Raw genomic sequence first — 25,950 nt, 5'->3', positions numbered from 1 at the left:
ACTTTTCTGTTACACAAATGCTGTAATTTAAACAAAACAGTAAGGACAGGTGCAGTCACTTGCACCTATAATCCCAGCCATTTGGGAGGCCGAGACAGGAGAGTTGCTTGAGCCCGGGAATTGGAGGCTGCAGAGAGATATGATCGTACTACTGCACTCCAGCCTGGGAGACAGAGTAAGATCCTGTCTCAGAAAAAACCCCACACATACACACAAAAAATAAGACTAGTTAAGAGTGATAATTGGAGCATCTTAGTTGCAATAATTAAATAATGTGTGAGAAAAATGTAACAAAATTTTTTCTATCCTCTTCTACACCATTTTAGTTTAACACTTAAAACTCTTTCATTGGTTATTGATTTCTTCAGCTTTATTGAGGTAGAATTGACAAATATAGTTGTATAAATTTAACATATATAATGTGATGATTTGATATAGTGTGCATTGTGAAATGATCGTACAATCAAGTGAGTTTTTAATTTCTATCACCTCACCTAGTTAAAATTTTTTTGTGTGTGGTAAGAACACTTGAAATTTACTCTCTCAGCAAATCTTTCTTTCTTTCTCTCTTCCCTCCCTCCCTCCCTTCCTCCCTCCCTTCCTTCCTTCCTTTCTTTTCTTTCTTTCTTTTCTTTTTTTTTTTTCTTCAAGGGCTCACTCTGTTGCCCAGGCTGGAGTGCAGTGGCACGATCATAGCTCACTGCAGCTTCCAGCTCTTGGGTTCAAGAGGTCCTCCCACCTTGGCCTCCCAAAGTGCTGGTATTATAGGTGTGAGCCATGATGCCCAGCCAGCAAATTTCAAGTATACAGTACAGAATTATTAACTCTAGTCAGCAGCTGTGCATTAGGTCTCCAGAATTTATTCATCTTTCTTTTCATAGATGGGATCTCACTTGGTTGCCCAGGCTCGACTCCAACTCCTGACCTCAAGGGATCCTTCTGCCTCAGCCTCCTGAGTAGCTGGGACTACAGGCACGTACCGCTGTGCCCGGCTTGAATTTATTTATCTTATCACTGAAACTTTGTCCCCTTTGACCAGCATCTCCCATTTCCTCCACCCTCAGCCCCTGGTAATCATCATTCTTTTCTCTGCTTCTATGAGTTTGACTTTTTTAGATTCCACATGTAAGTGAGATCATGCAGGCATCTGTCTGTGTGTCCCTGGCTTATTTCACTGGGCATAATGTCCTCTCGGTTTGTCCAGGTTGTTCTGTCTCCTGACAGATTCTTATTCATTCTTCAGAACTCAGCCAAGTCTTGCCTTCGGTGCGGCTTTCCCTGGCTCCCCTGGACTGCTCGCTCTCCTCTCTGTGCTCACCAGCTCTTGCTTCAATCCTTGACTCCAGCACTTTCCAGACACTTAATCCAAGCTTGCTAGATGTGTGAGCAGGTACAGGGTGGAACCAGGTTGATGCAACAAATTGATGGGCATTACTGATGAACCTGGGGTGAAAGTTCTGTGTGTACATTTGCGGAAAGATGTTGGTGTTTGGGAGAGGATTTCTCCTGCTCAGGCTAATTTCCGAATGGCAATTTCCCACTTGATTAGCATGAGCTCTAGCTAGATAGGGATAGGCCACATGGGTCAATGCCATCTCTTTTGAAAATCGTGACAGACTATACTAGGTCTAAGTGAAATTGTTATCAATATTGAGGACTTTAGTGATTATTGCAGTGATATCCTCAAATTTCTGCTTTTTTTTTTTTTTCCGCAGAGTGTCACTCTGTCACCCAGGCTGGAGTGCAGTGGCACAATCTCGGCTCACTGCAACCTCTGCCTCCCAGGTTCAAGCGATTCTTCTGCCTCAGCCTCCCAAGTAGCTGGGACCACAGACACTGTGGGAGGCTTGAGGCCCATGACATCAATTTAGGCATCCGGAGAAGGTAGGAGGCAGGGGAACAGGTAGGGGGAAGGTGTGGGGCCCTGCGTGTCTTGAATGTCCCCTCCAAAGCTCATGTTGAAACTTAACTCCCAATGTGGCAGTATTGAGACGTGGGGCCTTTTGGAGGTGATTAGGTCTTGAGGGCTTTGCCTCCATGAACGGATTAATCCATTCATGGATTCATGGATTAACCAGTCCGTGGATTGATGGGTTATTATGGGACTGGAACTGGTGGCTTTGTAAAAAGAGGAAGAGAGTCCTGAGCTGGCCTACTCAGCTCCTCTGATGTGACACCCTGCACCACCTCAGGACTCTGCAGAGTCCTCACCAGCAGGAGGCTCTCATTAAACGTGGCCCCTCAGCCTTGGAATTCCCAGCCTCCAGAACTGTACAAAATAAATACCTTTTCTTTTTAAATCATTCAGTTTCAAGTATTCTGTTATAAACAACAGAAAATAAACTATTACAGAATCATGGTGTGGAGAAAAAAAATAACAAAAAGAAAATGGACTAAGACAGACTCCACTGGAGAAGTAGTAGTTTTTAATTGCTATTAACATAGGTCAGGTGTGGTGGCTCATGCCTGTAATCCCAGGAATTTAGGAGGCTGAAGTGGAAGGATTGCTTGAGGTCAGGAGTTCAAGACCAACCTGGGCAACACAGAAAAGCCCTGCCTCTACAAAGAATTTTTAAAAATTAGCCAGGCATGGTGGCATGTGCCTGTAGTCCCAGCTATGTGGAAGGCTGAGGCGTTTAGCCACTTGAGCCCAAGAGTTCAAGGCTGCAGTGAGCTATGATTGTGCCACTGAACTCTAGCCTGGGCAACAGAGCAAGACCTTGTCTCTAAAAATACATTTTTTTAAAAATTATGAAAATAGTGTGGGCATGGTGGCTCACACCTGTAATCCCAGCACTTTGAGAGGCTGAGGTGGGAGGATCACTTGAGCCCAGGAATTCAAGACCAGCCCAGCCAACGTGGTGAGAGCCCGTCTCTACAAAAAGTTTAAAAAATAATGAAAATAAAATAATTAAATAATAATAATAATAATAACTATAAAAAAATTGAAAACAACAACAATTCCTCACAGTGGGTATCCTTTAAGCTGGAACAAAAGGAGAAGATGCTATGGTCTGAATGTGTCCCCCCAGAATTCATGTGTGGAAGCATGATCTGCAATATGGTGGTATTAAAGAGGATGGGGCTTCGGGAGGTGATTAGGTCATGAAGACGCAACCATCATGAATGGGATTAGTGCTTTTGTAAAAGACATCTGAGGGAGACTGTTTGCCGCTTCCACCATGTGAAGGTGCAGGAAGGAGGCACCAGCTATGAGGAAGAGGCCCTCCCCAGACGCCAGAAACTGCTGCACCTTGATCCTGGACTTCCCAGCCTCTCCAACTTGGAGCAATACATTTCCACTCTTTATAAATGACCCACTCTAAATTATTTTGTTTTAGCAGCCCAAAGAGACTGACAGAGAGAAAAGTTTGATGAACAGTTTAAAGTGGGGAATAAGTATATTTTTGCAGAGAACTGTAAGGAGGGCAGCCTGTCTAAGGGGCAGGTAGGAGATGGCAAGGAGGATCTTCCTAGGGAAGGGTCAGGGAAAGGTGAGTGTCAGGCTGGGACAAGTGGAAACTATGGAGTGTTCTTAGTTTGGGGCTGACAGTAAAAGCTGTGGATCAGGAAGTGAAGTGCATCGGTGCCCAGCAACCTCTTCTCACCCTAAGTTTTACCTGCTTTAATGTCTCCATGAATATGGTCCTAGGGGCAATATTGTTACTACCTGCTGTGCACAGTGTCTCATATAAACAAGGAACTTCCTTCGTCTATGTTTGAAGTTTATTTTGCAGGTAATAGTGGGTTGGATATCCTGACCTCCAGGAGTTCACATTCTTCAATGCTTCAGGGTGGTCACGGCAATTCTATTAGGGTATCTGTTCTCCACGACAGATATTTTTAGCAACAGATAGCCTGAATCCATTCAAAGAATGCACCTGTTGATGGGAATCCAGATCTGGCAACCACACACTTTAATTTCAAGAGTGCTCAATCAGAGTGTGTGCTAGACTGTGGGACAGGACAGAAAGTCTACTGACTTCAGGCTCAGGCTCACAACAGCTGTTTTCCAAAATTGGTAACATGAAAGTGCTTCTATTAATGTGGAGATTTTGGTTTGATGGATTCGTGGAAATGATCTGATACAAAAAAGCACAATTCCCTTCCCTCTCCCGTTTCTGTCTTGTCTTCCTCCTTCCTGCCCTTCCTCCCTTTCCTTAGCAATATATTTTTTTTTTTTTTGAGACAGAGTTTCACTCTGTCACCCATGCTGGAGTGCAGTGGCGTGATCTCAGCTCACTACAACCTCCGCTTCCCAGGTTCAAGCAATTCTCCTGTCTCAGCCTCCTGTGTTGCTGGCACTACAGGCACCTGCCACCATACCTAGCTAATTTTTATATTTTTAGTAGAGACAGGGTTTCACCTTGTTGATCAGGCTGGTCTCGAACTCCTGACCTCAGGTGATCCACCTGCCTTGGCCTCCCAAAGTGCTGGAATTACAGGCGTGAGCCATTGCGCCCAGCCTTCCTTAGCAATATTTTCTTTCTTTTTAATTTCTCTTTTTTTTTTTTTTTTTTTGAGACCAAGTCTCGCTCTGTCACCCAGGTCTGCTCACTGCAACCTCTGCCTCCCAGATTCAAGCAATTCTCCTGCCTCAGCCTCCCGAGTAGCTAGGACTACAAGCACACGCCACCACGCCCAGCTAATTTTTGTATTTTTTTTTTTATTAGAGACGGGGTTTCACCATATTGGTCAGGCTGATCTTGAACTCTTGACCTCATGATCCGCCTGCCTCGGCCTCCCAAACTGCTGGGATTACAGGTGTGAGCCACCATGCCCGGCTGCAGTATTTTCTAAATGTCTCATCTTGGATTTGTTTTTACAGTGACAAAGAAGCCAAGCAAAGTTTTCTTCCTCTATTAAATGCATATTCTAGAAGGGAAGACAAACAAATCATAAACAAACTAGTAAATAATACAGTTTCATAAAGTGATGAATGCTGGGAAGAAAGGGAGGCAGGATATGGCAGTGACCAGGGCCTGGAGGTATTTTTATTTCCCGTTTGGTGGACAGGGGAAGCACTCTGTGGAGGTCACATCTGAGCAGAGACCTGAACTGGTGGCCGTGATGGGAGTTTGCGGTGGAAAGCATTGCAGGAAGAGGTGGAAAAGAACAAGCATTGCTCTTTGAACAGCATGAAGATTGGGGTGGGTGGAGAGGAGGGGTCAAGGAGCAGAAGTGTAGGATGAGGAGAAGCAGCCAGTAGCTAGATCACCAGGGACTTGTAGGCTACAATAAGGATTTCATATTTTATTCTAAGTGCAATGGGAAGCTATTGGTAGGAATTAAGCAGGAGAGCAAGGCAAGCTGACTTACAGTTTAAGAATACCCTGGCTGCTCTTGGAGAATATTCTGTAGTGGAGAAAGAAGGCTGTAGGAAGACCAGTGGCTTGGCTGTTGTAGAGTACAAGTGTAAGCTGATGGTGGTCTGCAGTATGGAGATGGCAGTGGAAGCGGGGAAAGGTGGTAGGGAGGGCTCAGTATGTGTTTTAAGAGATCGAGAAAGGACTCAATAATCGTGGACTGGATGCCCAGTAGGACAGAAAGAGAGGGGTCAAGGATGACTCCTAGGTTTGTATTTTGAGCAACTGGATGATTTATGGGGCAATTTTCTGAGATGAAGATGATCGGGAGAGGAGACGGTTTAGATTGGAAAATTAAGAGCTCTGTTTTTATAGTTTTAAGTGACTATATAGAATATTAAAAAGATACAGCTGTCTGGAATTTAAGATAAAGATCGGAGCTGGAAATAAACTTTGGGAGTTACCAGCGTGTAGATGGTATTTAAAGCCATTGATCGAGAAGACATCACATGGGGAGGGAGGTGCTTGCCCTGAGGAAGAGACTGAGCTCAGAGACACTCCAATATTTAATGGATGATGTTAAGAATGAGATGCTAACAGGGAAAATTGAGAAGGAATGGCCCGTGAAATAGGAGGAAACTCAGAAGGGCATGTTGTCCTGCCCACCATAATGTTTCAAAGAGGAACAAGTGTCAAATCCTGCTGGGAATAAACTGAGGACAGATAATTGAATACTAGATTCTACATCATGACCCTAACATGAGCAGCTGCAGTTGAACAGTGGGGATGAAATTCTGAATGAAATGAATTAAAAAAGTAAAGAAGTGGAGACAGCAAGTAGCAATAGTTCTTTCAAGTTTTGCTGAGAAGGGGAGAAAAAATGGGGATGTAGGGTCAAGGGTGGATTTTTCAAATAGGGGAATTATGAAAACATTTTTGTATATAGATAGAAGTAATAGAAGTAACTCAGAAGAAAGGGGAGAATAGGTGAATCGGAAGAAGGAGATAATAGGAGTTGCTGAGCCTGTAAACAGGCTAGGGGGTGTGAGCTTTAGAGCAAAAGTGAACAGATTTAGGAGGGAATGGGAAAAAGAGTTAGGGTTGCAGAAAGTAACTCTTGGAATCTACCAATGAGAATTTTTACACCCACAGAGAACTAGGAATCAAGAGTACCTGGCCTGTAGTTAGCTAGGGCTGGAAGAAACGTCGGTAGAATTGGCTTGTGTGAAAGGAGGATGAATCCTTTATTGTTTCTCTTTTTTTCTTCTAAGAAATCAGTGTCATCAAAGAGAGGGAGGAAGGAGTCTTAAGAGTTTTGGGGAAAGAAAGGCATGAAATCGTCATTCTGGAAGTTGAGACACTGAATTGACAGAACCGCTAGCGTTTGGCAGCTTTGGAAAAAGCCACTTGAGATTTTTGTTTGTAGATTTAAAATAAAATCTACATTTAAAACAAAACCTGTAAGTACAATTGTATGGTTTCCTCTGGTGGTGTTCCGCTGGAGGCAGAGGCTGAACAGATGACAGCTGTGGTTTACCCAGATTTGGGAGCTGAGTTCTACATAAGATGGAGAGAAAAAAAGGAGTTGAGAGTGTGAGTGAGGGGGAGAATACCCAGATGCATCACGGACTCTGAGCGACCCCTGCAAGAGTAACATCTTTTGGGGCTGATGGGCAGTGAAAAAAACCCTAGTGGACCGAGTAGACTTGGGAGTCGATGTGAGTTTAAGAATTGCGGACTTTGGCTGGGTGCAGTGATTCACGCCTGAAATCCCAGTCGGTCTGGAATTGGTGGCTTCTTGGTCTCACTGACTTCAAGAATGAAGCCGCTGACCCTCGCGGTGAGTGTTACAGCTCTTAAGGTGGCACGTCTGGAGTCTATCCCTTCTGATGTTAAGATGTGTTTGGAGTTTTTTCCTTTGGGTGGGTTCGTGGTCTCGCTGGCTCCGGAGTGAAGCTGTAGACTTTCACGGTGAGTGTTACAGCTCTTAAGGGAGCGCGTCTGGAGTCGTTCTTTTCTGCTGGTGGGTTCGTGGTTTCGCTGGGCTCAGGAGTGAAGCTGCATATCTTTGCGGTGAGTGTTACAGCTCATAAATACAGCATGGAACCAAAGAGTAAGCAGTAGCAAGATTTATTGCAAAGAGCGAAAAAACAAACCTTCCACAGTGTGGAAAGGTACCCGAGCGGGTTGCCCATGCTGGCTCGGGCAGCGTGCTTTTATTCTCTTATCTGGCCCCACCCACATCCTGCTGATTGGTAGAGCCGAGTGGTCTGTTTTGTCAGGGCGCTGATTGGTGCGTTTACAATCCCTGAGCTAGATACAAAGGTTCTCCACGTCCCCATCAGATTAGTTAGATACAGAGTTTGGACACACAGGTTCTCCAAGGCCCCACTAGAGCAGCTAGATACAGAGTGTCGATTGGTGCACTCACAAACCTCGAGCTAGACACAGGGTGCTGATTGGTGTGTTTACAATCCCTGAGCTAGATATAAAGACTCTCCACGTCCCCACCAGAGTCAGGAGCCCAGCTGGCTTCCCCTAGTGGATCCCGCACCGGGGCTGCAGGTGGAGCTGCCTGCCAGTCATGCGCCGTGCGCTCGCATTCCTCAGCCCTTGGGTGGTAGATGGGACTGGGAGCCGTGGAGCAGGGGGTGGTGCTCGTAGGGGAGGCTCGGGCGCAACTGGAGCCCATGGAGGGGGTGGGAGGCTCAGGCATGGCGGGCTGCAGGTCCCGAGCCCTGCCCCGCGGGAAGGCAGCTAAGGCTCGGTGAGAAATCGAGTGCAGCACCGGTGGGCCGGCACTGCTGGGGGACCCAGTGCACCCTCCACAGCCGCTGGCCCGGGTGCTAAGTCCCTCATTGCCCGGGGCCAGCAGGGCTGGCCGGCTGCTCCGAGTGCGGGGCCCGCCAAGCACACGTCCACCCGGAACTCCAGCTGGCCCGCAAGCACCGCACGCAGCTCCAGTTCCCGCTCGCGCCTCTCCCTCCACACCTCCCTGCAAGCTGAGGGAGTGGGTTCCAGCCTTGGCCAGCCCAGAAAGTGGCTCCCACAGTGCAGTGCGGGGGCTGAAGGGCTCCTCCAATGCCGCCAAAGTGGGAGCCCAGGCAGGGGAGGTGCCGAGAGCAAGCGAGGGCTCTGAGGACTGCCAGCACGCTATCACCTCTCACCAGCACTTTGGGAAACCAGGGTGGGAGGATTGCTGGAGCTCAGGAGTTTGAGATTAGCCTGGGCAATGTAGTGAGACCCCATCTCTACACACATACACACACACACACACACACACACACACACACAAAGAATTTCGAACTTCCCCTCATGTCTTGTCCGTCTTTTCCATTGTTCATGCCTTCATGTGAGAAGACCTCTGATTTTCTGATACTCAGCTCATTTCCTTCATAAAGTCACCTCCATAACTCTGAACTTCATTGATGTTTTCTTTCCTTGCACTTCAGTTACATTTTATTATATATACTTTATTCAATTGTATTTATGATTAGCTAGGAAGGGCAAGTTATTGTTTTAAGTACTGGGAACAAAAGCGTGAGCAAATACAGATGTATACCTGGGTCCTCATGGACATACAGTCTGTTATAGATAGACACATGGTACATCATACAGGTAACTTGCATTACACAAGGCCTAATTCTGAAACATCTCAGGTCTGTGGAATATTTCTTTACAGTTAGATTGTAAGCCCCTAAGAAGGAGGAGGGGTTGTGCCACACCAATTGCAGGGGCTCAGTAAGCAGCTGTTGACTCCTTGAAGATGCTCCCTTGAAAGACTGAAGGAAAAATTATGAAGAAAAGAAGGCTCTAGGAAATGTTCTCTTGGAAGACATGAGTCTGAGTGTGTTGCATCCACTGGGTTTGGGAAAACGTGGAATAATTATGGAATAATGTCCAGGGAGCCTGACTGCTTCCTTGGGATCATATTCCCTTGTGTTTGTTCCATGGTTTAGTTGGGACCATGTGTCCCTAGTAAGCCATTATCTGCTTCCTGCATGTCCTTCTCCACATTTAAATTGATTACCATGGAAGGCTGAGGTGTATGGCTGACAGTCAGATCCTAGGAGGAAATACATTCATCTCAAAATGTGGTCACTCCAGATGGCTGGAAGACCCAGCACCTAAATGTATATCTACCGGGAAGTGAACATGTGCTCAAACCAAACACAGCTTTCTCCTCACCAGAATGCAAGGACTATTCATCTTAAATCATGTGTTTTAGGTGATCCTAAAGCCTTGATTCTGCTTGGGGTATAACTGCTCTATTGAAAAAATGATAGATTAGGATGTTCTTTTTCTGTCACTCTATCCCTCACATAGAGTTGCCCTTATGGACATGTTTCAGAGGTGTGCGGTCTCTTGTAAGAAGCCATCCCAGTGTCTCAGTGAGACCTGCTTGGTCTTTCAGCTGGTAGGTGAAGCTGAAATTCGAGGGAGATTGGGTGAAGTTAGAGGCCATGAGTGGGCTCACACCCAGCACTGACTACAGCAGACAGGTAAGTGTCATTGACTTTCTATCTATTTGGAGACCACCAGTATCACAACACAAGGGTGCATAGGGCTTCAAGGCGCTAGCTGATGATTCTGTAACTCTTGGGACCTACCAATGAGAATTTTTACAACCACAGAGAGCTAGGAATCAAGAGTACCCAGCATGTAGTTAGCTGGGCTGACATGACAACATACCATGGACAGAGTGGCTTAAACAGCAGAAACTTATTTCCTCACAGCTCTGGAGTCTACAAGTCTGAGATCCAGGTGAAGGCAGGATTGGTTTCTCCTGAGACCTGTCCTCTTGGCTTGTAGATGGCCATCTGCTTCCTGTGTTCTCACGTGGTCTTCCCTCTGTGTGTGTCTGTGGCCTCATCCCCGCTTCTTATGAGGACACCAACCATATTGGGTTAGAGCCCACCGTATGATCTGTTTACCTTAATTACCTCTATAAAGGCCCGATCTCCAAATATAGTCACATTCTGAGGTACTGGGGGTTAGGGCTTCAACAAATCATTTTGGAATTAGTTGAGGGAGAGATGGGGGTACAGATTTTAGCCTATGACACCTGGAGAAATTTGGAACCAGTGCCCCTCTTCAAGGAACCCACTGTTTTAGGTTCGGAAATAAAACCACATTGATTCCATGAAGAGTAACAATGAATTTTTAAGCTCTAATTTTAGGCATGTTATCTAACTTCTTTAGGCCTGAGGAGTCTAATGTGAAATATGGTGTTAATAATACCTGCTTTTGTTTCTTTTTTTGATGATCTGTCTGATGACATGCTGGCTATGAAAGTAATTTGAAAATATAAACTGGTATCCATATATGGAAATATTAATTTAGTAATAACACTAATAAAATTATAAAATACTGATCTCTGGAGTAAATTTTGTGAGCTAAAGCCCTTCTGCTAAGGTTCCCTTACTACTTGGAGAGGTGTCTGGGCTGCTGCCTTTTTTCTACAAGAAGAATTAGTCTTCACTATTGAATGATGCAGCCCCACCTGTCATTTATCTGTCTGATACAATTTTTTTTCTTTTTTGAAATGGAGTTTCACTCTTGTTGCCCAGGCTGGAGTACAACGGCATGATGATCTTGGCTCCCTGCAACCTCCGCCTCCCAGGTTCAAGCAATTCTCCTGCCTTAGCCTCCTGAATAGCTGGGATTACAGGTATGCACCACCACGCCTGGCTAATTTTTGTATTTTTAGTAGAGATGGGGTTTCACCATGTTGGCCAGGCTGGTCTCGAACTCCTGACTTCAGGTGATCTGTCCACCTCAGCCTCCCAAAGTGCTGGGATTACAGGCATGAGCCACTGCGCCCGGCCAGTCTGATAAAATTTCTTGAATGAAAATATGTCCCAATATAAAAAGGGAAGGTACAGGTAATGAAGTTCCCTATCCTTGACTTTGTTTTGCTTTTGATATTGGCCATTATGTCTTGTCTGCTTTGATTTGCCTTCTAGAAATTATTCTGGGATAGCTGTTTTTTTAATTTTAAATTTTTTATTTTCAGTTTTCACTTTTTTTTTATTTTTAATGTTTTTTTTTTATTATACTCTAAGTTTTAGGGTACATGTGCAGTTTTCACTTTTTATTTTGTAGAGATAGGGTCTGTCTATGTTGCCCAGGCTGGTCTCAAACTCCTGTGCTCAAGTGATCCTCCCACCTCAGCCTCCCAAAGTGCTGGGATTACAGGCGTGAGCCACTGCACCTGGCCACTAGGATATATTTTGAATTTAAAGTTGGTAAGTAATAGTCATTTTATTATTGAAATTTTTTGCTTGTAGAATACATACCTCTAACAACAGTCTATGCAAACAAATAATAATCCCATTTATTGTGCGTCTATTACAGACCTTGGAGCATATGAAAAAAAAAGAAATTTTAGGCACCTTTTGAGTGATTTGAGAGAATGGAAATGATGCACGAACTGATTTCAACTCATTAGTAGTCAGAATTTAGAAAATAGAATGGAGTACTTTTCTAGTAGAATCTTTTGGCCAAGTCATCCTCTAACCTGGAGATCTGGGAATCTATTTCTTTTTTCTTTTCTTTTTTTTTTTGAGACAGAGTCTCAATCTGTTGCCCAGGCTGGAGTGCATTGGTGTGATCTCAGCTCACTGCAACCTTAGCCTCCCAGGTTCAGGCAATTCTCATGTCTCAGCCTCCCGAGTAGCTAGGACTACAGGGGTATGCCAATACGACCAGCTAATTTTTGTATTTTTTAGTAGAGACGGGGTTTTTGGCCATGTTGGCCAGGCTGGTCTCAAACTCCTGGCCTCAAGCAATCCTCTTGCCTCAGCCTCCCAAAGTATTAGGATTACAGGTGTGAGCCACCGCGCCTGGCCGGAATCCATGTTTCTAATACTGGTTGACATTTCAAAGAAGCGAATTGGGAGCACAGTCCAAGAGGCCTTGACACACCGATGCTAAAAACGTAGCCAGTGTGTGGTGTGGCTGGCACTGATCCTGAGAGTTTGGGTAAATGCTGGGGCCATTCTGGGATGCTGTAGGGTGAGCGGTGTGTACCTAGGATAGTGAGAAATTGGTGAGGGGTGATCAGTGGGTTGTGATCACTGACGTGAGGTGCACATTTTTTAGAATCAGAAAGTGGAAGTGTTAGGAAATCACAAATATTTCCTATATACACAATTAGTTTCCTGGCTCCACTCTGAAAGCAAGACCTTAAGTTAAAGCAACAGATCCATTTGGAGTGGCAGAGCAAGTGTGTATTGTATGAGGCGCTAGGCAGCCTTTGCCAGGTGGAAAGAAATCAGCCAAGATTGAAGTACATTTGAATCAAAACCAGGGTGACCATAAAACCCAGGGAGAGATAGAATATGCTTGGTGGCCTTAATCTTTTTCTTTGCTAGACTCTATTTTCTTTTCTCAGTATTGCCAGATACTGGCATAGAGAGCTGGGGTTAGAAAAAGCAAACACATGGGCTGGGCGTGGTGGCTCACGCCTATAATCCCAGCACTTTGGGAGGCTGAGGAGGGCGGATCACTTGAGGTCAGGAGTTCAAGACCAGCCTGACCAACATGGAGAAACCCCATCTCTACTAAAAATACAAAATTAGGCTGGGTGCAGTGGCTCATGCCTATAATCCCAGCACTTTGGGAGGCCGAGGCAGGTGGATCACCTGAGGTCAGGAGTTCGAGACCAGCCTGGCCAACATGGAGAAACCCTGTCTCTACTAAAAACTACAAAATTAGCTAGGCATGGTGACGCATGCCTGTAATCCCAGCTACTCGGGAGGCTGAGGCAGGAGAATCGCTTGAACCCGGGAGGCAGAGGTTACAGTGAGCCGAGATCATGCCATTGCACTCCAGCCTGGGCAACAAGAGTGAAACTCCATCTCAAAAAAAAAAAAAAAAGAAAAAGCAAACACTTCTTGAGAGCATATTATGTACTAGGCTCTTTACACATATAAACTCGCTTTGTTCTTTTTTTTTTTTTAGACGGAGTGTTGCTCTGTTGCCTAGGCTGGAGTGCAGTGGCAGGATCTCGGCTCACTGCAGCCTCCTGCCTTGGCCTCCCAAAGTGCTAGGACTGCAAGTGTGAGTCACTGCACCCAGCTGAACTCGCTTTGTTCTTACAAACATCCTGTGCAGCAGGTTACTAATATCCCCATTTAGTGATGAGAAAAATGAGTCTCATGATATTCAGGAAAAATTTGGCAAAACTGGAGTCTAAAACCAGGCTTGTGACTCCATAGCCCCCCCCTTTTTTTTTTCATGATGATGCTAAATAAGAAAAGGAGGAAGATGAGTGATGGCAGATAATATCCCATACCTTCTAGAACATCATTCATTGGTGAAGCATTATTCATTTTATTATTGCATTGTCACACATATAAAATTGTCATAATTGTGATTCCATGCTGTGACATTTAGAATCCTTGGCAAAGAATGCCTTCTTCCAATCAACAAAATTGCCAGTAATTACTCTGCCGTGGCATCTCCTTACCTTCACCTCTCTTGCTAATCCTGGATATACTTTCTCATCATGGCCTGCCCCTGTTATCTTTCAGATGTCTCGTCATGAAGCCAGCTAGGTCAGAGTTTATCAGACGTTATCTCCTGTTCATCTTCAGAGCTCCACCCAATTGCACCCTTATCTCTATCTGGATTCTCATCTTGAGCTACACTTTTGTGACCGCTCCCATTCTGTTCCCCAATCCTTATTCCTGAGCTCTGCTCTGTCCCCTTTACCATTCATGCTGTTAACATCTTCTTCCCGTTGGTGACTTTAAGCTAAAGTACATATAACAGACTAGTGCATGTTAAGTTATAGGTCTTTAAAATCCCTGAAAACATACACCATGAAGATTTCAGCAAAAGATGACATATCTATGACATCATCTGCCTTAGCTTCTCTGACCCTGACTTAACCTCATCCGGGCGGTTCTTCACATCTCTTTAGATTTTTTATGTAATTTGGGGCCTCTCTACACATTGTTTTGCCACCTTCCCACTGCACCCCGCCCTTTTTTTAACCTAGGCTGCTAATAACAATCTTTTACACTGCAGTTTTCTGTACTTCTATAGTTTTTCTTGTGCATAAGTACCATTAATTATTTAACCAGTCCATTCCTATTATGCATAGATGTTGCTTCCCAGTTTTTCTTACTATAAATTACCCTGCTGTGAACATCTTCATGACTAAATCATAGTGTGTTTCTCTGATTCCTTTTTTTTTTAATGAGACAGAGTCTTGCTCTGTTGCTTAGGCTGGAGTGCAGGGCTGTGATCTCGGCTCACCACAACCTCCACCTCCTGGGCTCAAGCAATTCTCCTGCCTCAGCCTCCTGAGTAGCTGGGATTACAGGCATAAGCCATCATGCCCAGCTAATTTTCATATTTTTAGTAGAGACGGGGTTTCACCACGTTGGCCAGGCTGGTCTTGAACTCCTGACCTCAGGTATCCGCCCACCTCAGCCTCCCAAAGTTCTGGGATTAGAGGTGTGAGCCACCACGCCTGGCCCCTCTGATTACTTTCTTATGGCAAGTTCCTAGAAGTAGAATTTCTGGGTCAAATTATATGCATATATTTAAGGTTGTTGAAGAATATTGCCTAAATTGCTTTACAGAAAGGTTACCTCAGTTTGCTACCCTAGTGGAAGTACGGGGAAGGTTCCTGTGAATAATTCTAAGAAGTATGATATCACAGGATTCACCCCAGGGCATCACTAATTAGTCACATGATCTTTGGCAAATCATATAAGCTTTATCACTCCCAATTGAGTTCTATTAAAAACAAGGAGTTGGTTTAGACCTCTATATTCTTCCTCCACCTAGTCCTTCTGTTGTGCAGCTTTCCCATTATGGGGAGCAGTGCATTTCTGAATGTTCTCTGGGGGCTCTTAAAGGGAACTTAGATAGTGAAGCCTTAAAACAGGTGAGTGGCTGAAACAAAGATGAGGATTTTCTTGAAGTTTTCTCTTGGGAGAAAGAAAGGATTTAAGGCCGGGTGTGGTGGCTCAGGCCTGTGATCCCAGCACTTTGGGAGGCCAAGGCGGGTGGATCACCTGAGGCCAGGAGTTTGAGACCAGCCTGCGCAATATGGTGAAACCCCATCTCTACTGAAATTACAAAAATTAGCGGGTCATGGTGGTGTACACCTGTAGTCCCAGCTACTTGAGAGGCTGAGGCAGGAGAATCGCTTGACCTCAAGCAGGTGGAGGTTGCAGTGAGCCGAGATCGTGCCACTACACTCCAGCCTGGGTGACAGAGGGAGAATCTGTCTTAAAAAAAAAAAAGAAAAAGGAAAAACAAAGGATTTACTATTGTGTTCACTTTCACTTTGGTCTCTTCAATTTTTTTTTTTTTTGGAGCACTCAGTACTTAACAAAATTGTCTTAAGTCTTGTCCCCACCTCAGTATGTCAGGGACATCTATGACCACCATTCCCATCGTACAGGTGAAGAAATGGGGGACATGGAAGGTGTCAATATGCTCAACTGTAGAGCGTGAGTCAGAGGTCAGGAAGAAACGTGCATGTGGGGCTGCGGACACAAAGGCTAGTCCCCAAAGCTCTAGAATCCTCTTGCTCTGCCTCAGGACATTATCAATCCAGAGATGTTATGAGGACTGGTAGATTCAAGGCTTTCAAATTGCTGTCCTCCAACAAGGCTCTGGGGTCACCTGCAGCCACACACTCTTTCCTGGATCATATGTGTCTGCTCTGCCTTTTTTTTCATATCTCTGGCAATGGGCATTCAGGCCATCAAGGCATCTCTGCAAAAGGATAAGGTCTGATACATGTACTGACAAACTCAGACATGGGCTGGTAAAAATTAAGTTGAAAAGGATGATGACACAGTAGCATCAAGGGCAGCAATAAACACTCGCCAATTTTTATTGCACAGCAGATAGGTCACTGGTACATGGTGTTTGATATGTGCTTGCTGAATGCCAGTTTGTGCCAGGAGGTGCAAAGATCAATAAGTCACAGGTCCTTCCCTCAAGTACCTTACAGTCCAGCAGAGGAGATAGACAAGAAAACAAACACAACAGTAAAGTCATAAATAGAAATTTATACAAAGACCAACGTAGCAGAGAGGGAGGAGTGATTAACTTGAAAGTTATACCAGAAGAAAACTTCAAAGTCTGCAGCATCTGATGGATTGCAGGTGCAAGGCCCCTTTAGAACAGCTGCACTCCTGAACTTTTCTCTAACATGGATTTGTATGTATTAAAGCCTATATCATTTCATTATACAACTGGATGTATGTGTATTAAAATCACATTTGATAATTCAACTCATTAAATGACCTAATGACTCTTTTGCTTTGCTTTCCTCCCTTTCTCAGCAAGCAAAAAAGTTTCTTAACTGAGCAGTCACATTGGATTGAAGAGGCATCTGTTTCTAACAAATTGACACTTCATTATTTTCCATTGGGAGCAAATGTGCACCTCCTTTTGATCACTCAGAGCTTGTTATACAGAACAATAAGAAGGCACTGTGTTAGAATCACCAGGCCCCTCTAAACCAGAGAAAATGCAGAAATACCAAAGAGGTTGAGCCTAATTATTTCAGTAAATGAAGCAAGAGGGTGGGGCATGTTACTGGAATATAGGACTGAATGTAACTTGAAAATTATATAAAAGAAGCTTTGGGATAAAGTGTAATTGAGTTAGTTTGCTAGTTTCTAAATTCTGTAATAGTGAATTTCATGTATCAGGTTTCTATGTAACGAGGTGTGTATGTGAGAGCTACATATACAAATCTACTTCTTAAGTATTTCCCAAATGATTTGTGACATTTAGGGGGAACTCCATGGGACATTAATACTAGAAAACTCTCTTACCTGTATAGAAGAAAAACATTTTATAATGTTAATCGTCATAATATTTCTCTTGTAGAAAATAGTTGGAGAAATCTAAGGTTGAAAACAACATATGTTCTCTATATTAAAACGTCAAGAGCTGTACTGAGGAAGTTTGTGGAGTGGGTGGTAGGTAAGATTTGCATTTGAAAAGAAGTCTGAAATATTTCTGATTTTTATTTAGATTGTTAAAGTTTCAAGTACTTAAAGATTTACCAATTCCTTCAGAGTACCAAGTAGAGGCAATCATTTACTAATGACTGGAATATTCATCAGATAAATAAATGCTTTTAGGGTTTTTTGTGTGCGTGTGTGACACAAAGTCTCACCCTCTTGCCGAGGTTGCAGTGCAGTGGTGTGAACACAGCTCACTTCAGCCTCGACCTCCCTAGCTCAAGCAATCCTCCTGCCTTGGCCTCCTGAGTACCTAGGACTACAGGCGCACGCCACCACACCTGGCTAGTTTTTTGATTTTTTGGTAGAGACAAGGTCTCACTGTATGGTGCAGGCTGGTCTAGAACTCCTGGACTCAAGCAATCCTCTTGCCTTGGCCTCCAAACTGATAAATGCTTTTGTTATGAAACTGCTACTCCAAAAGATATGAAAACTGGGTTTGAAAGAAATTAGTTATCCATTTAAAATAAATGTATAATGCTAAGGGGTAAATAAAAACCATGAGTACTGCTGTATGCCTTAGCTTAGAACCTTTTTTAAAAAAAAAAAAATAGAGTGATGGGAGTCTGGGCACTTATAATCCCAACATTTTGGGAGGCTGAGGTGGGTGGATCGCTTGAGCCTAGTAGCTTGAGACCAGCCTGGGCAACATGGCAAAACCCATGGTGAAACAAACAAAGAAAAAACCAATTTAGCTGGGTGTGGTGTAGCTCTAATCCCAGCTACTTGGAAGGCTAAGGAGAGAGGATCTTTTGAGCCCGGGAGGCAGAGGTTGCAGTGAGCTGAGATCATGCCACTGCACTCCAGCCTGGGTGACATAGCAAGATTGTGTCTCAAAAAATTAAATTAAATTAAATTAAGATAGAATGAAGAGTTCTTGAAGACAAATGCAACTCACTGTGGTGCATAAAAAGGTGTGCGAGTTCTTCTGTCCCAAATGCCACGGAGCTGGTGAGAAGCTCATGGTGAACGTGTTTAGAATTCTCCTAAATTCACCCCAGACTGAAATGGGGGCACTGGGGAGGAAGTCACTCACCTGGACTGACAGGGCAATTATCCATGCAGAACAGAGGACCCCAACATTCTGGAACTTTCCTACACTAACCCTTAGAAGCAAGGAGATCCCTTACTCCACCCGTCTTACCCCACCAGACCATCTGACTTTTCTTTCTCTTTTTTTTGAGACAGTTTCGCTCTTGTTGCCCAGGCTGAAGTGCAATGGTGCGATCTTGGCTCACTGCAACCTCGGCCTCCTGGGTTCAAGCAATTCTCCTGCCTCAGCCTCCTGAGTAGCTGGGATTACAGGCACACCCCACGATGCCCGGCTAATTTTTTTTTTTGTATTTTTAGTGGAGACGTGGTTTTACCATGTTGGCCAGGTTGGTCTCGAACTCCTGACCTCTGTGTGCCTTGGCCTTTCAAAGTACTGGGATTACAGGCGTTAAGACACTGCACCCAGCCCATCTGACTTTTCTTTTCTTTTCTTTTTTTTTTTGTTTTTGAGACAGAGTCTTGCTCTGTCGCCCAGCCTGGAGTGCAGTGGCTCACTCCAAGCTCCGCCTCCCGGGTTCATGCCATTCTCCAGCCTCAGCCTCCTGAGTGGCTGGGACTACAGGCACCCACCAACACGCCCGGCTAACTTTTTTGTATTTTTTGGTAGAGACGGCGTTTCACCGTGTTAGCCAGGATGGTCTCGATCTCCTGACCTTGTGATCCGCCCGCCTTGGCCTCCCAAAGTGCTGGGATTACAGGTGTGAGCCACCTCACCCGGCCCCATCTGACTTTTCTATATTTTATTTATTCAGGAAAATAGACAGATGATGGCATTCGTCTCTTAATGTTTTGTAGGCAATTCTGTGGGAAAGAAGCACCCGTTGCTCTGTTTTCACATACTTCCTTTTCTTTTCAGTGACAGAGACATACTCAGGAAGGCTGGACCCATGGAGGCTGCCCACCTTGTTCATTGATTTCTACTTGATTGATTCCTTCTTGATTGATTTCCAGGATCTCTGAAACGAGAAGCCCTCCCCTTTATATGTTTAATCAGATATTGCAAAGTGGACCTGAGAACGAGCCCGTCGGAAGCAGATTATGAAGGGGCCTATGTTTTGAATATGCTGAACTGCTTTGGTTTGTGACTGGGGAAGATTAAAGGCCTACAACAAAAATGAGTGCTGGATATTGCTGACAAGAGAGGCTTCCTGTAATTTCTCAGGCCATAAGTATTTAGTGAGTATTTACAAGGTGTGGGTTATTTTCAGAAACTCTTAGACCAAGAGACTCAGGAACTGGTATGTCCCCAGGGACACTGGTATCCCTGTCTCGCTTACTGGAGTGTCTCATACAGGGACTGGCACATAAATACAGAAACGCTATACATAAACGCTAGTTAAATGAAGGCACAGGTGAACAAATGAGTGAACGAATGATCAAGCGAATCTACTCGTTCAGTCCCTCAGGCTTTGTAACCCCAGTAACCAAGAACGATGCCTGCCATGAATTAGGCAATCAATAAAGGTTTGGTTCCATGAGTTAATAAATCCAATCAAGCATTAGTAACTTACCCAAGTATTCTGTTTGACTATTAAAAATTTTCCAATGTAGTTGCTAATAATTGTCATACTCTTTCTGCACCCCACATCTACAGAGGGTCCACTGTTGACGCCAGCATTGCATTTCCCATGTTCCTGCTTGACACACCTGTGCAGGTGGCATGGTTTTAGCAGACCGATCCAGAGAGAAGTATCTGCATTACAGTTAGACTGGAAGAAAAGTTATTAAGTTGAGACTTTAAGGTAACCAGCCTTACCGACGTCACAGAAGTGTGTACGGAGAAGAGTTCCTGCCAGCTCAAGTATTGTCTCCTCTGATCAGAGTTCTCCTTGCACAGCTTATTTCTGCTGTGATAGAAAAACAGTCTGGGTGTCACAGAGAGAACTGAAGACAGGAAGTGGGAACTCTCCCTTCTGAATACAGCACTAGAGTTAATGTTAAGAGTGAGGGAAAAAAGCTAAGAGTAATTCCTATTGGTGAACTCATTCAATATTCACAGACACCTAGGAGATAGATATTCTTCTTCTTCTTCCCATCTTCTAAGAAACTGAGGCCCAGAGAGGTTGAGTAAATTACTCAAGATTAAATAGCACAGATGGCAGAACAAAGATGCAAACTCAGAAAGTCTGGCTCCATTCTTTCTTTTCTTTTCTTTTCTTTTCTTTTCTTTTTTTTTTTTTTTTTGAGACAGGGTTTCGCTCTGTTGCCTGGCTGGAGTGCAGTGGTGCAATCGTAGCTTATAGCAGCCTTGACCTCCTGGGTTCAAGCGCTCCTCCCATTTCAGCCTCCCAACTAGCTGGGACCACAGGCATGCATCCCCACATCCAGTTAATTTTTGTATATTTTTGGGGGTAGAGATGGGGTTTCACCATATTGCACAGGCTGGTCTTGAATTCCTGGACTCGTGATCCACCTGCCTTGGCCTCCGAAAGTGTTGGGATTACAGGTGTGAGCTACTGCACCCGACCCTGACTCCATTCTTAACCACTATATTACATTGATGTATGTGTCCTCTTCACCTGGCAAATCTTTATGGAATTTGGAATAAGGCAAGGATGTACTGCAATAGGATGTCGTATCTGGACTTTTTTAAAAAAGTGTCTTTGATTATAAGACAAATTCCATAGCATAAGAACTCAGAAACCACAATGTAACAAATCTCTGATGACTATTTGCAAATTATTTTTCCAGTGTCCTAAAGAATACGGCCCTGCCCTGAGAGAGTAAAATCACCTGCCACAGTGGTCCTTTGCACTAGGACTTCCCCCTCATTCTCTCGCCTTTAGGGATGGGATAGCTGAGAAGAAGGGCCAAGCGGATTACTTGGGAACGTGCCACATTGATGGGAATTCAGGTGGTCTTGCTAGACTTCTACTGGGCACTGCTTTCTTTATAATGCTAAGTGTATATAATCTGTTTTATATGCTTTGAGAATGCACTGTAATTGGTACACTCTGATAATCAAAGCAAACTTAGTCACATATATTAGACACCACAGAGAAGTGTGCAGTGGAGTGAAACTGCAATTTATATTGCCGTGTTACACTAGTTTCAGCTCCAGTTTTTATTCTATGCGTGAAATGTAGGATAAGATTGCTCCTGTTGCAGCTTTTAGAGTTACTTCTTTGACCATGTTTGGTTTGGCAGTTAAGAAAAAAATCAACAGCAGGATTACATTTCAATGGCACAACATCTAATCCTCAGGCAAATGATTTGTCCACGCTTAATATAAAGTACTTAGGATGTATTGTTTGATGTGAACACTAGTTCTAATAAAATGGTGCCTGAGGTACAGTTCTTTAACTTGTAATACCCTTATTTGTGTTGGCCTGTACACATTGGATATAAAGCCATCGTGATAAAATATATCCTCTTTAGCCTGATAAAAAGGAAAATCAGAGTAGAGGACCCATACCAGGAGAGAGAAGATGCTGTAAAACACAAAGCCCCTTATGATGTTTGTAGTTGGCCTTGAGGACACGCCCTTCAACACTTCTCTGATGGGCACTTTCCCACTGTCTTGGAGGAGCGATGGAGGTACCTTATTTGAATCTAACATTGCGCTGAACCCAGCTCCATTTCGCTGCTGCATTTGTGAAGTCTTTCTAACTGGAAGGAGCAGCTGCATCAACATAGTGGATGGCAAGCACAAAGGAAGGTTAAAGGAAGCAAATACAATTCAGCCTACCTCTGATCGCAATCTCTGCCCTCAAATATCCACTTGTTAGAACCTTTTTCTCCAGGACCCCGTGCTGCTTAGAAGCATGCAAGGTTAATAATAGCAGGCAAAAAAATGCGAGGCATTTCAAGACGCAACATTCATCTTACCGTTCCACTAATGCGGGGATGACAGAAAGTCACTTTCAACCTCCTTTCCTGCTGCTTATATTACCTGCGTGTTGTGAGCTACTCCTCTAAGGTATTGGAGAATGATTGCTGTTCATATGGTGTTATAAGAAAGCTAGGCATATTTGCCATTATCCTCATCTGATTTAATGCTTATAAATCAGCAAAAACTCCACCTCAATCCACTTCTCTCTGTCTCTGAAGAGCAGACACTCAGTAATAGCTTCATTCCCAGTTCATCTGATGACTCACTTCCAGAATACTGGTGATTGAGAACCTTCTCTGTAATTGTAGCTTTAGCTAAAGGATGAAAAATCACAGAATCTAAAGTAAAGCGACTTGAGTTTTCAGCTTCCCGCCTTACCCTGACTCATCTGCAACTCTTCAAAAGTTGTAGGAGAGGTGAGCTTCTCAATGAGATGCTGAGCATTTTTTTTTTTTAATTTGAGCTGTAGTTGTAATTTCTATACTGCTAGAAAATGACTCATGGAAGAGCAAGTCTTCGAAGTTTGCTTTCAGCTTAGATTTTTATTTTGAGGCCAAGTGCTTAAATGCATGAACGTATCTTTCCTTTGACTGAAAATCTGGAAGTAAAAATGAAAAAAAAGGATGGCAAGACAGCAGAAAGAGGAGGTAGCATGGGAAACCAATGCCTTCCTTTGCCTCAGCTACGTGGCATTGCTTAGCCATCCCAGCACTCCTAGAAAGCCATAGGGGCCGGGCACAGTGGCTCACGCCTGTAATCCCAGCACTTTGGGAGGCCGAGGCGGGCGGATCACCTGAGGTCAGGAGTTAGAGGCCAGCCTGAAACAACACGAAGAAACCCCGTCTCTACTAAAAAATACAAAATTAGCCAGGTGTGGTGGTGCATGCCTGTAATCTCAGCTACTCCGGAGGCTGAGGCAGGAGAATTGCTTGAACCCAGGAGACAGAGGTTGCGGTGAGCCAAGATGGCGCTATTGCACTCCAGCCTGGGCAACAAGAGCGAAACTCCGTCTCAAAAAAAAAAAAAAAAAAAAAAGAAAGCCACCGAGACAAAAGCAGCCAGAGTACAAAGAGGCTCCCATCCAGGGTTGGTCATTGTCCTGGACATTATGGAGAGGACAGTGCCATCTCAGTGCTCCCACTCTGCCCTACTGGTCCATCTGTCTGGAGGAAGTGTGTCTCCATTCCAGCTGATTGAGGGAAGCTCTGGAAAGAATGGCTGACTTATCCTGGAACCCGACTTTTAGTGCCAGCTCTAGAGAACCTATACCCCAGGACTTAGGAGAGCTCAGTAGCCATGTGCTCAGGTACACAGACCAGACCAGGGACTGTGCTTGAGTCTTCCCAGGGCTTTTTCCAACCAGGACAAGTGAGATTTCTCCAGAAGGCCTCTTCCCAGATCAGGTTCCCACTTGTGGAAAAGAAGCTAGAAGCAGATTCCTGGGTAAGAGGTAGAATTGGAAGCACAGGTTAAAAAGGGAAAATAAGGAATGCTTTTAATGATTGGAAAAGAGGACATCCTTTGCTCCTACAAAAACTTCTCTCCAATCAAATCCCCAATGTTTTCCTATATCCTTTCTTTTCTTTTTTTTTTTTTTGAGATGGAGTTTCACTCTTGTTGCTCAGGCTGGAGTGCAATGGTGTGATCTCGGCTCACTGCAACCTCCGCCTCCTGGGTTCAAGTGATTCTCCTGCCTCAGCCTCCCAAGTAGCTGGGACTACAGTCATGGACCACCACACCCGGCTAATTTTGTATTTTTAGTAGAGACGGGGTTTCACCATGTTGGTCAGGCTGGTCGCAAACTTCTGACCTCAAGTAATCTACCTGGCCTCGGCCTCCCAAAGTGCTGGGATTACAGGCTTCAGCCACCGTGCCTGGCCTATCCTTTCTTACTTTGCAATATTTAGTCTGAGGCCCAGGAATGAAGCTGAGGGGATTCTCCTTTATCATCTCCTTGCCCTGCCCCGTGTTTGTGTGCACTCTAGAGTTCAAATCCTTTTTCAATAGGCTCTAAGATGCCATGCCATTGTGTTGACTTGGAATTTTGTTACTCCATATACACAATCTCAGTTAAATGAAGAAAGAGATGGATTGGGTTTAGGAGTCTTTCACTTACACAGTTTTTTGTTTTTGTTTTTGTTTTTTTCAAATGGTAGTTTTTTTTGTTTGTGTTTTATTTTTTTTGAGACGGAGTCTTGCTCTGTCGCCCAGGCTGGAGTGTAGTGGTGCGCTCTCCACTCACTGCAAGCTCTGCCTCCCGGGTTCACGCCATTCTCCTGCCTCAGCCTCCCGAGTAGCTGGGACTACAGGTGCCCACCACCACGCCCAGCTAATTTTTTTTTTTTGTATTTTCAGTAGAGATGGGGTTTCACCGTGTTAGCCAGGATGGTCTCGATCTTCTGACCTCGTGATCTGCCCGCCTCGGCCTCCTAAAGTGCTGGGATTACAGGCGTGAGCCACCACGCCCGGCCTACAAATGGTAGTTTTAAAAATGAAGCTGTTCTCTTTCGTTTTTCAAAACTCCTTCAAGAGGAGTAGGAAGGGAATTTATCCTTATGCAGCTACCTGAGAGAGTGCCTATTTTTAGCATCAAGACCCCTATTATATGAGCATTAGAGAATTAAAAGCCACTTGTGTAGCTATTCTTTGTTAGAAAAAAAAAAGGCTCATATTGAGAATTCAGAATCCTTCCCAGGGAAGGAGAAATTGGCTGTCTAGGATATTATGAATTAGGGAAAAAATGCAACTAGAAACCTGATAAGGTACTTAACTGTGCCTAGAGTTGTTATTGATATGAAATGCCCTTGCTGTCGATATTTTATAATTCCTAACTTACTTTTAGTCTCAGATAATAAAATTTTACTTCTAGAATTTTCGAATAGATTTAAAATTCTCTTTCTGGGTGACTATTCTGAGGCTATCGGTAGCAGGTCTCTGAAGTCAGTAACTTACTCATCCAAATGTTTATCGTTGCTCTCACTAAGGTGGGAGTGGGGTTGGGGAGGATGGCGGAGGCTGGAACGTCAGACTCACTCTCAGAGAAGAATTTTTTGTGGTTTTAGGGCATTGGCCTTCAGAGTTCAATTTGGTTTATCTGATCACTCACTACTCATGCCATTTGCAGAGAATTGAATAAATATGATTTCTACTCTTCTCCAATGTAACAAGGGAGAAACTTAAGTCTCAAAAAGAGAATGAGCTTTTCTAGAGCCTCTCAGGTGCCTCCTGGCCCCAATGAAGAGTGAATTGTGTGTGGCAGGCGAGTGCAATGCTCCTTTATTTGGGTAAGAGGTGGGGTGGGTGTAGGTCGGGATTGTAAAGTAAATCGGATTGCTGCCTCAAGTCTCTTTTGGTTCCAAATAGGTGCGAATGGGCGAGTGTGCAATTTCATGATACAGAGGGAGGGAGGGAGGGAGGGAGAGAGACAGAGAGAGAGGGAGAGAGAGAGATATTAGTTAAGAAAATGTCCTCAGCTGGGTCTTGTTTCAGTCAGCAGTAGTGCGTGCCACAGTTTCACCCCTAATTTACTTTTCCCAAACTCATTAAGTTTCAGATTTCTTGGGCTTAAAGTCACTAGACAAAGCAGGATTGAACGCCTGAAATACTGAAGAAACAAATCTTAGTTGTTCTTCAGGAGAGTTCCACCATTCATTTTTCCTTCGTCTTCTCTTAACACCTTCTGAATGCCTCGAAACCCCGCCCACGTCCCTCCATCCCCACGGAAAACCGCCCACGTCCCTCCATCCCCACG

At 44.3% G+C, this 25,950-nt stretch overlaps 1 long non-coding RNA gene across 1 annotated transcript; it reads left to right on the top strand.

Moving 5' to 3' along the window:
- Positions 1 to 15,596: 15,596 nt before the first annotated feature.
- LOC105374920 (uncharacterized) lies at positions 15,597 to 20,491 on the top strand. The gene is made up of 3 exons (XR_926458.2): positions 15,597 to 17,273; positions 19,224 to 19,543; positions 19,962 to 20,491. It is a non-coding gene; the product is annotated as an uncharacterized LOC105374920 (long non-coding RNA).
- The last annotated feature ends 5,459 nt before the right edge of the window (positions 20,492 to 25,950 follow it).

This window comes from Homo sapiens, chromosome 6 (genome assembly GCF_000001405.40).
Source record: "Homo sapiens chromosome 6, GRCh38.p14 Primary Assembly".
Classification (NCBI taxonomy): domain Eukaryota; kingdom Metazoa; phylum Chordata; class Mammalia; order Primates; family Hominidae; genus Homo; species Homo sapiens.
Note: the sequence above shows the minus strand (reverse complement) of the source record. Positions and strands in the feature narration are given on the sequence as shown.